The 14617-nt window shown below is 43.7% G+C and overlaps 1 long non-coding RNA gene across 1 annotated transcript, besides 7 other annotated features; it reads right to left on the reverse strand.

The window, feature by feature from the left end:
- Positions 257-1023: an enhancer, noted in NCBI's record as "H3K27ac-H3K4me1 hESC enhancer chr1:234657990-234658756 (GRCh37/hg19 assembly coordinates)". NCBI's record gives its function as "activates a minimal SCP1, AML or CMV promoter by ChIP-STARR-seq in primed H9 embryonic stem cells {active_cell/tissue: H9 hESC(primed)}" and the evidence as "EXISTENCE:reporter gene assay evidence [ECO:0000049][PMID:30033119]".
- Positions 579-778: an enhancer, noted in NCBI's record as "active region_2757". NCBI's record gives its function as "activates an Ori minimal core promoter by ATAC-STARR-seq in GM12878 lymphoblastoid cells {active_cell/tissue: GM12878}" and the evidence as "EXISTENCE:reporter gene assay evidence [ECO:0000049][PMID:35858748]".
- Positions 1139-1238: an enhancer, noted in NCBI's record as "active region_2758". NCBI's record gives its function as "activates an Ori minimal core promoter by ATAC-STARR-seq in GM12878 lymphoblastoid cells {active_cell/tissue: GM12878}" and the evidence as "EXISTENCE:reporter gene assay evidence [ECO:0000049][PMID:35858748]".
- Positions 1139-1490: a biological region, named in NCBI's record as "Sharpr-MPRA regulatory region 10256".
- Positions 1196-1490: an enhancer, noted in NCBI's record as "tiled region #10256; HepG2 Activating DNase matched - State 5:Enh, and K562 Activating non-DNase unmatched - State 5:Enh". NCBI's record gives its function as "activates a minimal TATA promoter and a strong SV40 promoter by Sharpr-MPRA in HepG2 and K562 cells {active_cell/tissue: HepG2 | K562}" and the evidence as "EXISTENCE:reporter gene assay evidence [ECO:0000049][PMID:27701403]".
- Positions 1678-1727: an enhancer, noted in NCBI's record as "active region_2759". NCBI's record gives its function as "activates an Ori minimal core promoter by ATAC-STARR-seq in GM12878 lymphoblastoid cells {active_cell/tissue: GM12878}" and the evidence as "EXISTENCE:reporter gene assay evidence [ECO:0000049][PMID:35858748]".
- Positions 5904-9792, reverse strand: LINC01354 (long intergenic non-protein coding RNA 1354). The gene is made up of 3 exons (NR_038426.1): positions 9541-9792; positions 9039-9194; positions 5904-8355 (listed from the first exon to the last, which is right to left on the reverse strand). It is a non-coding gene; the product is annotated as a long intergenic non-protein coding RNA 1354 (long non-coding RNA).
- Positions 13796-14090: a silencer, noted in NCBI's record as "tiled region #14716; HepG2 Repressive non-DNase unmatched - State 23:Low". NCBI's record gives its function as "represses a minimal TATA promoter and a strong SV40 promoter by Sharpr-MPRA in HepG2 cells {active_cell/tissue: HepG2}" and the evidence as "EXISTENCE:reporter gene assay evidence [ECO:0000049][PMID:27701403]".

A 14617-nucleotide genomic window follows, 5' to 3' on the forward strand; every position in this document is an offset into this window, starting at 1 on the left:
CGTGCCCTGCCCCTGGACACTCATGGGCTGCTGTACTGAACAGGGCAAAGGCAAGTGCAGGGACATGGGTTCTGGCCCCAGGTCTGATGCCAACTTGGCCACACCCGCAAAGTCATTGGACTTCTCTGGACTTCAGATTTTTCTTTTTCTTTTTCTTTTCTTTTTTTCTTTTTCTTTCTTTTTTTTTTTTTTTTTTTGAGGCAGAGTCTCACTCTGTCACCTAGGCTGGAGTGCAATGGCACTGTGTTGGCTCACTGTAACCTCTGTCTCCTGGGTTCAAGCAGTTCTCCTGCCTCAGCCTCCCGAGTAGCTGGGATTACAGGCATGTACCACCACGCCTGGCTAATTTTTATATTTTTAGTAGAGATGGGGTTTCACCATGTTGGCCAGGCTGGTCTCGAACTCCTGACCTTAGGTGATCTGCCCACCTCGGCCTCCCAAAGTGCTGGGATTACAGGCGTTTGCCATCGGCCTGGTCCAGATTTTTATTTTTCAAATGAAATGAGAAGCTTGGGTTTCACTCTAAACGTTCTTTTCAACTCTGAAACCCAGCAATTCTGAATCTCTCTACTTCTGGGCAACTCTGTTTCCATTCTTCCGGGGTTCATGGGAGAGAACCTTCTTCAGAGAGGCTGATGCAAGAGCTCCAGGGGAGGGGCACTGAGGGCACATGAATTGTGGAACAGAAACAGCGATGGTTACAGCAGCTGGCAGAGTGAGGAAGCAGCGGTCTCGGGAGTCCCAGCCCGAAGGCAGATTTCCTGGCCACAAAAGCACCAACGGACAAGACTCCACCAACGGTGCCCCTTGGATGGTGGAGTCCAGCTGCCAAGCTCACTCAGGGGACAGTGGCTCTTTTCTCAGTCACTCATCATGGCACTAGGGATTAAGTGCATTTAATAACACCCCCACTCTGCATTTAATAACCCTCCAAAACCCAAATGACTCTCCTGCACATTGAAGCTGCTTAAACCATTGACTGTGATCAACTGCTATAGCAACTGCCTAACAGTCTGGAGGGGTGTGCACAGGGAAAACACCTCAACTACCACACATTACGTGTTCTTGCTGAGAGAGAGAAGGAAGGGACGTGAGTTCAAGGCTCCCTTTGCTCCTCGCAGATGGTACTTTTCAATGTAAAATATGCCAAGACGAATGTGGAGCTCAAGCTACTGGGACAGCGAATAAAGATGCCGGGAAAAGGAGGAAAGAGATTTCACATGGGCAACGGTTGACAAGTCTTTCTTGTTTGTGGCTTGCAGTGAGCAGTGGACAGGCATTCTCAGATCAGGTCAGAGAGCAAGTCATCAATGGGGGCAAATTCCAGTCGGGTCTTTCAACTGACCGTTTTGTTCAATGAATGTCACACTGTAACAGGATAATTGGAGGGTTTGGGTAAGCTGGTGAGGGAATAAGGGCTTTTCCTAAGAATGATAAAAGCAGAGAGGCAGCTCTCAGCTCTAAGCTGGCTGCCCTGTTTCTGCAAAAATAGGTCCTTTAACATGGAGAAGCAGAAATCTAAACCTTCTTAAATCCCCTCGAATGTTTTGAATAGAACAAACACCTATTTAATGAAAGAAATACATTTTCAAAGATCATAGCAACAGGACACACGAGCTGCTTGGTCACCTAAGTGTTTTTGGAAAAGGAAAAGAGCTATTCAGCATTAAAGATTCAGGAATGTCTGTTGACATATTAAGGAAACAACCTCAGGGGACAGCTGACAAGGCTCCAAGAAGCATCACCAAGGGAACAGTGACGCAAACGCATTCCGTTTTTACAGGCTGGCAGGCTGCCAGGTTCCCTCGCCTGACGGCTGATGTAATGCTAATCCCTATCTGGGTGAGCGTTGCTTAGATATCAACTCAAGCAGCTCAGTCAGTTGCAATCAATAGCAGGATCCTTTTATAGAAGATAGTAAAGGGAAAAAATACATGTGTGTGTGTGTGTGTGTGTATATATATATATATATATATATATATATATATATATATATAGAGAGAGAGAGAGAGAGAGAGAGAGAGAGAGAGAGAGAGAGAGAAAACCCCAGATTCTGGTGTTCTGCAAACCTATACATCGTACAAAAAAAAAAAAACATTATGCACTCAGGTGTCTCCATATGGAGTATAGCCAGTTGTCTAGGAAAGATATTGCTATTTCATAAGACCAGTTCTTTTTTTAAAGCATAACTAAAGAATATGCCTAATTCCCAGCTGAGCTAAATAATGATGGAAGAAAACAGAAGACATTAGGTGGGAATGTGAAAATAATGATCTTTTTCATTATTGAATAAATGGGCTGATTCCTTTTAAACCTATGCATAAAATATTACTTTTTAAAAACTTCTTTCTTCAAGACCACTGCTTTTCAGTTATTTTAGAATAAATAATAAGAATAGTAATTATGCACATTTTAATCAGTCGTGGATTGAAGGCTTATGTTAAGTGTCTCCTGTAATGTGTTGGCGGGGCCACTTTTCATTTTTTCTCTCAGGCATAGCAATTTTAACTGTCCAAGAGCAATAAAGAACTCATTCTAAAAACTCAATTCAATTATGTATATTCTTACTTATTTACAAGATTATACCTAGATGGAAGGAATCTATGTTGTCCTACACAAAAGACCAATAGCAAATACATCCTTGGTTCCAAAGCCTTCAGAGTAGAAAATATTCAAACATTCCCCTTGCAACCCACCAAAAAGGTGGTGTGGGGGTGGAATGAGCACCAACAAAGATAACCAAGCTATTTTTAATAATAATAAAATGAGCATAACTATGATAACATAGGGCAATAGACTTGTCAATCAAGCCCACAAGGATGGTAGTTACAGGGTAGAAATGACACATTATTAATATTTTATATGTTTATTGCACCTTTCTTTTAAGGTAGGTTTTATTTTGCTTTCAGCCTATAAGAAGTTTACAGATAAGCTTTATAAACCTTGTAAATTACATGAAAAGCTGATGGGTATGTACATATTTTTCTGGGAGAAGGGCTCATAGATATCATTAGATTCTCAAAGGGATCCAGGGGCCCCCACCCCAAGGTTAAAACTGGTGAATTCTAAGGAGTTAAAAATCCTTTAGAAATTTGATTTCAATTATCCCCCACCTCCCAGTAAGATAATTTATTTACAGGTAGAGAAAGTGGGAAACTGAGAGGCCAAGTTGCTCGCCCAAGTTCAAGGAAGCAGGCCGTCTATGATTATCTAGGCTGCTAGATGAGAAGGCCTCCTTGCTTAAGTTTCTATGGCATGCCCATTAGTCAGGAGCATCCCATTGGAGCAGAGCTCATAAGGGAAGGGCCAGGGAAAGCTTAGGATGCCTGCTGATTAGTTCAATTTCAACTCAAGGGACACACCTCCATTTCTAGCATCCTTCATACCCACCCAGCCTCTCTTACCCTCCCCACATTCCTACTGCCCAAAGTCTCCCTCTGATCAGGCCAAGGCTAAACAGAACACTCAACTGTAGTATTTTGAAATTGTAATAGTCTCCCATGAAAATGTAACTTTAGTATCACCTTTCTTTGATAAGGCAATGTTTGCTTCAGCATCTTGAAACACTTCCTGTCGGGCAGAAAGGATACAGAACAGGAAACAAGGGCGCAAGAAAATGAAGGAACTTCCCATTCTGTAGAAATTAAGATGCAAATTCAGTTCTCCAGACTCATAGCCCTGTCCATTCTATGTTACCTTTCAGTAGCTTGGCCTGGTGAATAGAGTCGTGTATTCTTTGAGTCCAGCTCCTCCTGCCTGGGGCAGAAGCTAGGAATGGATGGCACAGGGAAGTTAATTTCAGTTTTAAGTAAGGAGCTGAGAAATAGCCGGGCTTGAAGGCATGAAGATGAGAATTTCTTCCCTTTTTTGAAGCAATAATGTTTAATGCCATTTGTATGGTTATAAAATAATATTCGTTCATAGTAGAAAATTCAGGGGGAAAAACTAAAAAGAAGAGGAAGCAAAAAATACCTGAAATCCCATCTCTCCTAGATCTCACACTAAGTAAACAAATAAGTTGGTTATTAGGACTGGACCTGCCTCTTTTTGTGTCCCCGAAGAAGTCACAAGTGCTTGGTTTCTTTGTGAGGAAGATACAAATAATTGTTTTTTTTTGAGACGGAGTCTCACTGTCTCCCAGGCTGGAGTGCAGTAGTGCGATCTCGGCTCACTGCAACATTGCCTCCCGGGTTCAAGCGATTCTCTTGTCTCAGCCTCCCAAGTAGCTGGGAGTACAGGCACATACCACGATGCCCATCTAATTTTTGCATTTTTAGTAGAGATGGGGTTTCACCCTTTTGGCCAGGCTGGTCTGGAACTCCTCACCTCAAGTGATCTGCCCACCTCAGCCTCCCAAAGTGCTGGGATTACAGGCGTGAGCCACCATGCCCAGCCATGATTAAATTTTTCTTGTCTGCTTTACAGGGTTGTTCTATGACTCAAATAATATTAAGGTTTTGGAAATGATTTGTAAATCACACAGATCTCTATTGCAGAATTAAAGGATTCACACCATTATCCTTAAAGGTTACTTGCCCCTATCATATCCATAGCTACTAAAACTATCACCTTAAAAACACGATTTCCCAAGCTCACTCCCTGCTTCAGAAGTGACCATGGATCTCAATGGCACAAGATTTAAATCAGAGCATCCCTGGTCTGACTTCTAGGAGCTTTCTCAATGCCGAACTTGATCTTGTCTTTGTTGCTGCAAACCATGCTTCTCATTGACCTTTGATGCAAACTCTACCCCAACAAAGTAAATCTTCACATCATTGGCACATATACTGTAGGTTTTATATTCTGGAACTTCCTATATGCTTTCCCTCATATACGACATTCCAGCCCACCTAAAAATGCAGATCACTTCTAATGCTTCATTTAATATCATTTCCATCAAACAGCTGCATGCTGGGAAAAATTCAGAGCTAGTTTTATACATGATAATTACATGACATGTCACTTAAATTTACACCCATCTTCTGATTTTTCTTTTGCAAACTTTTGTCTTCATTCGCTAACTCTTTTTCTAAAATGGTTAAAAATAGATTTTGGAAAACATTGGACATGAATGTCATTTGTTGTGTATGAATTTGCTAAGAAATAGGGTGTACCACAGCTGTTATTTTTTCCACATAGCCTACTCAATCTGTCACGCATTTACTGTGTTTTATAAATATGTGACATATTTGGAAATATATTGTTCACATATCTTGCATGTTTTCTATTCAAGGCATGCTAAAAATATAGTATCAGTTTGTCAACACGGCTTTTAAAAACAAGAGCCCCTCATTTAAAAATTCCAAGACAGTCCATAGTTCAGACCAAGCAGTTCTTACGCTTTCTGTTTCTTACCTTGCCATGTTTATATGAGTCCCTGTCTCATATAAGTTGTATGTTAAGCATCTCAAATGCAAAAATATCAGATGTGTGACTCAAAAGCAAGGTGGTTTTCTCAAACTGCTTCATGTTCTAGAATGCATGTTTAACTTGATGCAAGAATACAAGAGAAAGAATGCAGTTTCTCTCTCTCTTAAGTGAATGTTCTTTCTGAAGAGTCAGCAACATCACCGTGGGATAGCGGTGTTGGGATGTCTCCATTAACCTAAAGCTTTGAGGTGTGCAAATCATAAACCGAGCTGGCTTCCGTATCATTTTAAACCCTTGTTATCTTTTCACGACAACAGCCCCAGTGTGACATTTAAATAATGTTGTTTCCTGGAGAATTTAGAACCCAAGCATAGCCTTGTCGATAATGGCAGCTTGGAGGGAACTGAGGAGAGGGTAGGACATGGGGAGGGTAGAATTTCCCTAACTGTTTTTTTAAAAAAACAAAAACAAACTTAATTGCTGTTTCTAAGTTAAAAAAAAAAAAAAGGCAATGATTAAACAAGGAAAATGAGTGGTGAGTCAATATTCTCCAATTCTTTATTTGTTAAATTATTTTCATTTTTATAAAGTACATCTGTCAGTTTCTTTTAAGTAAGGGCAAAATTATCCTAAGAAATCCGTAGTGTAGATCTCACATTTTTAACAGAAATAACCATTGCAATGACAGCCACTGTTATTACACTGTTATTATTTATTTCATGTGTATTTCCTGCATTAATCTGATCTTAACACATTATCGGTAGAGTCTCTCCTTGCAGGAGGGAAGCCTGCTCAGTGGGAGATGGATCTACAAAGCTCTCTCCCAGCCTGGACTGGAGCTGCGTGGCTGCCTTCCTTCTGTGCGGCTGCACGCCCCGGCTAACTGAGAGGGAATTCTCACGTGACCGAAGATGGCCCCAGACTTCCCACTATCTCACTTCCTTTGTGTTCCTTGCAGAGACACACAGGGGACTGTGGAAGTCAGCTGTGGAGGACGCTTGAGAGATTTTTGACCCAGAACTCAACTTTGGGGTAAAACTGAGAAGAACGTTGGAGGGGTCTCTTTCCCCTCGAATGTGTGCATAGAAAATGCAATTTTCCATTGTGCTGGAGAGACTTGGACTGTCTCTCAAGAAGGTCTTACAGTGATCATTAGAACAAAAAGGCATCTCTTGGCTATGTGATCACGCATTTACCTCATGAGATAGCAGCATATTATTAACCACCATCTCCTTAGCAATCCGGGCCAGGACAATAAGACTTTTGTACCCACAGTTTGTCCTCTCCAAGCCCTCTCAGCCCATCATCTCATTCTGCCTGCTCAGCAGCCCTGTAAGGGAGGACAGGAACTACTTCTCCCACTTTCTAGATAGGAAAAGGTCACCCAGCTTGTATAGGAGGAAGTGGAAGTTGAACTTAGATGTCCCAGCTCATTTTTTCTTTCTTTTAGCCTGTGTGCTCTCGTGATTGATACCTACCCACGCTTCTCTCTACCTCAACCCATTAAGACATATTGAGGGGTAAAAAGTGACCTTTTTCAGAGTGTGCTCTGCAAGAAACTTTGTGTCTTAACAATATTAATTCGTTTCCAATCACTAAATTCTCCGTACCAATCAGTTATTTTTCTGCTGTGTGCCTATTTCTCTGCTAAGCATAATGACTGAACAAAAAATATGTATGACAACATGTCTATCCACAAGTAGCTTATTCTGGTTGCCAGAATTCTAAGATGACCCCTGATGTCCCATGCCCTTGTGTAATCCCCTCCCCTTGAGTGGTAGCAGGACCTTAATTTGCTTCTAGCCAATAGTATATGGCAAAAGTGATGGGATATTGCCCCCGTGATGATGTCACATTATCAGGCAAAGGTGAGGGGATTTTTGCAGATGTAATTAGGATCTCTAATGAGTTGACTGTAAGTTAGTCAAAAGAGAGATTATCCTGGGTGGGTCTGCCCTAATCAGATGAGCCATTTAAAAGAAGATCGAGAGGTCAGACACTAAAAGCAGCAGATTCACTCTCTCCCTTGCTGGCCTTGAAAAAGCAAGCTGCCATGAGATCCGTAGCTTGAAAGAAATGAATTCTGCCCTGTGACCTGGAGTGAGGACCCTGAGCCTCAGATGAGACCCCAGCCCCAGCTGAAACGCTGATGGAGTCTTGTAAGAGACCCTGAGCAGACGACCCAGTCACTCGTCCCCACACTCGTGGCCCATGGAAGCTGTGAGTAAATGTGTGGTATTTTAAACTGCTAAATGTATGACAATTTGTTACACAGCAATGACGATCTAGGAGGGGGGGGCTATTAGCAAGTGTTCATAAAATCTAAGATTTGTAAAAAAAAAAAAAAAAAGAGGTTTTTTTTTTTAGCTTCTTGGAATATTACATAAATAAGATGCAGAGGTGATATGTAACACTAATAACTACACTGGTTAGTAGGTAGCAGGAAAACCAGTCTTGCCATTTGGAAACAATAGTGAGAGCTGTATTTTCTTCCTCTTTCTCTCCCTGCCTCACACATACAGTTGCCCAAACCATTGCTAATAGGCAGGTCCTATTGCTAACATCAGCAATCATATTTAGACACATCAGATAGCTATTCCAAGGAGGCATTTTTAATTTCTCTCCCAGCTAAAGCTGTCACCTTGGACAGGAAGCGGTGGGTTCTGTGCAAAACCACAGGAAAAACTTTCCCTAGAACACTGGATTTCAAGAGATGCCTATGCCCTTTCTAAGCTTGTAGACACTTTAAAGCAGTGCTGAAAACTGTGCCTGGCACTTAATGGGGACACAGTAAGCGCTCAGCAAATATGGAATATGCACAAGTAGCATCAGCTTTTGAAAATGCTCTTTGCTTTATAATGTCAGAAGAAGTCCAGGTGCAGTGGCTTGTACCCACAATCTCAGCAATTTGGGAGACCGAACTATTGGGATTGCTTGAGGCCAGGAGTTCAAGATCAGCTTGGGCAACATAGCAAGACCTTGTCCCTAAAAAAACCAAAAAAACAACAAAAAAAATTAGTCAGGTGTGGTGGCATGTACCTGTAGTCCCAGCTACTTGGGAGGCTGAAGCAAGAAGATTGTTTGAGCCCAGGAGTTGGAGGCTGCAGTGAGCTATGTTTGCACCACCACACTCCACTCTGGAGTGACACCCTGTCTCTAAAAAATAAACAATAAACAATTAATTAATTTTAAAATTAAAAAAATAAAATATCAGATGAAATGGTCAGTGTATTAAACACTTATCAATGGATTCGACCCTAAAGCTTAACTTTTAGTGATTCTTTCTAATATTAGCTTTATTAACCAAAGTGTGGGATTTTCCGGTTGCTCTTTTGACGGCTAGCTGATAGGATGAGGTAGGGGCAGGGACAGGAGAGAGTTGGGTGGGGGCAATGAAAGCCCTGGCCTGGCGGACATAGTTTCAGTCTGCTCTGCAGAAGTTAAAGTACGCCTGGGAAGACAAGGCAGATAACGTAGCACGCAACTGAGCTCATGAGTGGAGGAGAGAAAAGAGAAAATGTGTCTCTGTGGGTAACCCCTGGGGGAGCCCATTTTGCAGTAAATGCAGAAACAGTATTATTAAGTCAGGATGAGCGTAAGAAGGACTGCCAGAAATAGACCCCGCCCCCACCCCCCGCACCGCCCCAGGTCACTGCACCTGCCCAAACCTTGATTCTCTCCCTTGAAAAACAGGGACGATGATAGCACCTCCCTCAGCGGGCTGCTGTGGTGAGGATTCAGCAAGATAATCCACGAGGCTTCCAGGAGATGAAGGATGCTCAGTAAATATTTGTGATGATTATTCACAGAGATGAACCTAAAAGCTAAATGCCACGAGTGACTGGCTGGATGTTACAATGTCTGGGGAATGCTTCGCAGCCTGACCCTTATTCCAGAAAGTTCTGTGAGTATCCTCATGACCTCACTGAACGTCAGCGCCGACTGCTCTTACTTAACAGGGGAGAGCCACAGACTCTGCAGTGCGTGGCAGGCAGGGCCTGTCACTGTCTACTGTTGTCGCTGTGGCTGTAGCAGTGGAGGTGGCCGGGCCTTCTTTCCCACCTCCCCTTCTTCCCCATGGTCAGCCCCGCTCCCAGGCTCCGTCTGTGCCCCTGCAGCTCCCCAGCGGTGGCCTTTTTGTTCAGTGCTTCCTCGGCGGCTGGGACTCACCCTGATTTAAAAGCTCCAGACGTGTTCTCGGCAGCCCGGGAGCACAGGAGTCAAAGCAAGACCAGGAGCGGGTTGCTGAGAGGACGCCACGCTGACTGGGGATCGAGAGGGTGGCTTCCTTCAAACAGAGAAAGGAAAAAGCCCCTTGAACCAATCTGAATGTAAAATCCAAAAGCTATGGCCACCGCGAGGAAAACAACAGTCATGATGCGGGCCAGGAGGCCGTCGCCGTGGGAATGCAGTCGGCCCTGCGCATGTGGTGTCTGAGCAGGGCCCGAGACCTTCCAGGGAGGGGAGAAATACTTTTTGGCTGACTCTCCTGACTCTGTGTTTCCTACAATTCTACAACAAAGATCCAGGAACATGAGAAAAGGAAAATGAGAAAATGAGTCCTGTGATCCAAATTTAAGCCAAGAACAGGACAGGCAATGTGAGCCAAATAGAAATGAGGCCAAGAGTGCTTTCTTGGGGCCCCAGCTTTTTTTTTTCTTTTTTCGAATGCCCAAACCTGTTTAACTGCTTAGTGTGAACTCTAGTTCTGGGATACAGTTCACTATGGGAAAGGAAATTTAATTAGCACTGGCGACCTCACCTTCATTCTTAGGTCAATACAGTAAACTGGCATATGAATAGTGATTTCTACCAATTGATTCCTGAAGGAAAAGAGAGAGAAAAGGAGAGAGGAAGACACACACACCTACACACACACACACACACACACACACACACACACACAGAGACAGAGACAGAGAGAGACAATGAGGCACAGAGAAACAGGCAGAGACAGAGAGACAGAGAGACAGAGAGAGGGGAAGAGAGACAGAGAAACAGAGACAGAAAGAAAGAGACAGACAGAGAAAGAGAGACAGAGAGGCAGAGAGAGACAGAGAAGCAGAGACAGAAAGTCAGACAGAGAAAGAAAGAGAGGAGCAAGTGACATACTTTAAAAATTATTCTTGAGAGAGGTCAACCTGCATCAGCTGCAGAAATCAACAATCACTTGGCAGTGTCAGCTGTAATACATTCCCACATTGCATTCTGCACGGGCATTGACTATCTTGACCCACACTCTCTATATCATGTTCACAGTAACGTAAGTGGTCAGATTTCTACAATTAGGCCTTGCAAGATAATAATGACAAGCCGTATTCGTATATTGCTTTACTGTTTGCAAAGCAGTTGCATAATTATCATTACGTTTGGTTCCTCATGACTGTGCTGTGAGGAAGGCGTTCCTGTTCCCATTTTAGAAGTGAGGACACAAAGTTACAAGTGTCCAAGCCAGAACCTGATGCCAAATCCCATGACATTTCTGCCGTACTGGGCTCTGCCATGCCCTGGGAGGATGGCCACCTGCAAACACAACCTTTCTCCTAACAGAGAGAGAAACTGAGACGCAAGCTCGAGTAGCAACTTGATGGAATGGCACAGTGGGGACCACTAGCTCTTAGAATACGTCAATTTTGATTGGCTGAAATTGACAGGAGTATCTAAGACAAAAGATACTCCAGAAAATAAAGGGATCGGGGAGGGATGATGGAGAAGTGACCTTACGGTTATCATGAAAAGGGCTGTGTGTCAAGACAGCATTACACCTAGTGGGAATTGGAAGGATTTAGCTGTACTTTATGTCTCAGAATGTGCTAATGTGATTACCTCATATTAGCTATTATGTGTGCCCTATGAATAATGTCATCCCAGTGCTTCTGGAGAATAGGAGTGGAGCTGCAGGCCCTTCAAAACAATCCTAGGCAGAGTCTGAGTAATCCTGCACATCTGAATCACCAGCAAAAGACAAGTTTCAATTTGGATTCAGAAAATACATGATGCAAACCTTTCTCAGCCCTGGAAGGGAGGGAAGGCATGGGAAGAAGCAGGATTGGACTGGAAGGACTGGCTGTCTTTCCTGCGTGCTCTCCCTTTGACCTGCTTGGCACACCCTGCTTCCAAAATGGCCCATGTGGTTGACAGTCTGCAGGGATGTGAATAGAAACCCAAGACGTCGGGCTCGGTGCATCTCGAAGCAGGGCCGCAGTCTTAAGCACAAGACAGGCACATTCCGCTCACAGCATTTCTTTCTAGTCTGAGCAAAATCTTCCCACAAGGCCAAAATCCCAACGGCTGGACATGAACAGGGCGTATATGTTTTTCCCCTTCCAAGCTCTTTTGTTGCATTTTATTGTTTTTCCTACCTAGATATTAGGCTGTCTCCTTGATGCGAAACATCCTTCCTTTCTAGAATTTCCAGGAAGCACAATTGCCTCCCACATTTAGATTTAATGTAATTCAAACCAAAGTTTGAGGCTATTTCTCCTAATTCAGGAAAAGCTGTGAGCTTGGCAACCCAAATGGAAAAAGACAGAAAAAAAAAAGGATGGTAGTGGATTTGGGGGTGTTTTTCTCATTTTTGGTTGTGTGTGTGGCGTTTCATAAAGCGTATAGGAGAATTAAGCTCAAAAAGCAACTGCTTGGAGAGATAGAAACTCTTGTAATTCATGTTGTGCATAATGGATTTGGCAGGCCCAAGCACAGAAATTTCCAGAAGTGTTTGCGTGGCAGCAGTTCTTAGCCAATTCACATTTTTTAGCAGTTCTGGCCAGCTGCCCAGCCTGCAGAAAAAGTCTTGTATCTCCACAAGTTTGGCTGGCCTCACTGACGAGTTTCCAAACTGCATGGCAACATTGGATGAGCTGCTTTTCAAGTGCCAAAAAAACTCCTGCTACTTATATTGTTACTAAATACCAGATGTGCTTAATCAAGAGCGCGTGGGGCCAAACCTAGGGTAATCAAATAACCTATCATTAACATTTTCTAAAAACAAAAAATGCAATTGGAACACCAGATTACTGTTTTTCTTTGTTTGCTTTTACGCCCTATTACTGGAACCCCTAGGGTGATATGAACAGGACACGGGTGGGGAGGCCGGCTCTGAAGACGCTGTTTACAATCACAACCCTGCACATCTGAAATATGTGTGAGAAAGTCAAGGCCTGCACAGATTTCCTCTGGGCTCCTCACAAGGACCCTGGCCCCTGGCGACTCCCGCCCTTCAGGGGAGGGGCCCTGCAGGCAGAGGCTCACACCGCACTGAAAAACACTGGAAGTTTGAGGTGCACTGGAGTTTGACCTTGAAAGAGGGAAATGCAGAAAGAGACAGCAGGGCAGCTTTGGGGACTTGGCAAATTAGCAAATGTGCAAGAGTTGGAAGCTGCTGCTGCTGCTGCTGCTCGAAAAATACACAGAGATTCTGAAAGGCTGTAAGAGACAAGAGGATGCTGTGTGGCTTTGTTGGCGGCCCCAACTGGGCTCCGACTGGTAGATCTTGAAGTATTTCTTAATACAAAAATCTCCAATTCTATTTGGGTCCCTCTCATTGCTGTAATATAGATATTTTGTAAGTTTTCCGGGAATCCGATGGGAAAATAAATGTGGCTGGCAGATTCTCCCCCTTGCTCCATTCAAGGTCATTCCTGCTGTCTGGGCCTCCAGGGACCTGCTTCTCCAAACCTCTGTGCCTCCCACCTCTCTAATCCCCTCTCCCCCAGACTCACAGTTCTAAAGAGATGAAAAGGACATCTTTCTTACCCCAGGGTTGCTGGGTGACCCTGATAGATAATGTGTGTTGGGGTGATTCGAGAGCGAGAGGGAATATTGCAAAATGAAATTCTATAGAAGGAGATGGAACCTGCAATAAGAAATTTCAGAGTTAATGACTCTTCTGAAACTGTTTGTTATCTGCTTTAAGACAACCGTGTAAATAAAGGAATAAGAGACTCAACACTTCGAGAGTTGTTTTAAGAAACCTATTGCTAAAAATGTGTTATAATCCCACTGTACCTCGGATGCCATTGTGCCAAGCCAGACTCAGAGAGAGAAGATTTAGTGTTTCTCTGTTGCGTGGAGCCACTGGGGGGCTAAACTATGAGCTTGCTCTAATTAGCAAGGACATGCCTTGAAAATGTGTGATTTCAGCAGATGTGAATAGTAAAGTAATGCGGGGCTGGTATCTACCACATCTTTTGAACTTATCTTCCTAACTATAGTCATGGGTTTTACACATCGGATGCATTCCTGAAAAATCGGGTGTGAATCCGTATACAAAGTGGGATTATGTTTGAAATGTTCTGGGGATGCTCTGGACTTAGAGGAAACATGTATCAGTGAAAAAGTCACAGGGAAAGTCATACCCATCCCCGATTCCTCTTTGTTGGGTTTGGACGGGCCCTCAAGCCCTGGCGGAGGTTAGCATAAGCTGCCCCTCACTTTCACTGCTGGGCCATTGAAAGGAAAGGGCTGGTCCCCGAGAAGGGTCAAGGCAGGGCTATTTTGTTCTCCAGCAGCAAAGCAAAGAATGCTGGAGGAAACCACCCAAGCGACAAGCTCTGCAGAGGGCAACTGGAGGCTGAGTCTAAAAACAAAAGTGGAGGAGCCCATCTCCTTGGAGCTGTTTATATTACATAACTCAAATAAACACAGCAGTTCAGGAACAGTTCCCTTGGCGAGGGCCAGGACCATGAGAGGCCGACAAAGGGCGTCTCCTTCAGCCACCCTGGTCAGAAATGGCTTCTTTAAAACAACAATAATAACAATACACAGGGACTTGCCAGTCCAATTCAGCAGGGTGTCTTGAATACATCAGAGAGGAGTCGCTCTAATTAGGCCTTGTAAGGTCCCTTTATTTTCTCTAGCTAAGGAAATAAATCCTAATCAGAGAGCCCAGAAAGAAGCAAAACTGACACAGGAATGGCTATTCTCATGTGCAGAGTAGGGAAAGGAAGCCCTTCCAGTGGGTTTTCTCAGCACTCGAGAGCCGCTGTGAAGCTGGGCCAGTGCGACGACTGCTTCTTGGGCAATCGAGTAGTGGCTGGCTTTCTGTGACTTCAGCTCCTCTTCAGTTCAGAGCGATGCAGGGGCCGCCAGCCTTCTGGGAAGCATTGGGCAGTTTACATGGAGTCTGTGTGAAGAATAATAATTTAAAACAAACAAACAAACAAACAAACAAAAATGGTTACTAACTCAGTAAATGACCTCAGGCCTGCAGGCCCAAAGTCTGAACAAAATCAATCTTGAATTGAGA

Source organism: Homo sapiens, chromosome 1, assembly GCF_000001405.40.
Source record: "Homo sapiens chromosome 1, GRCh38.p14 Primary Assembly".
Lineage (NCBI taxonomy): Eukaryota > Metazoa > Chordata > Mammalia > Primates > Hominidae > Homo > Homo sapiens.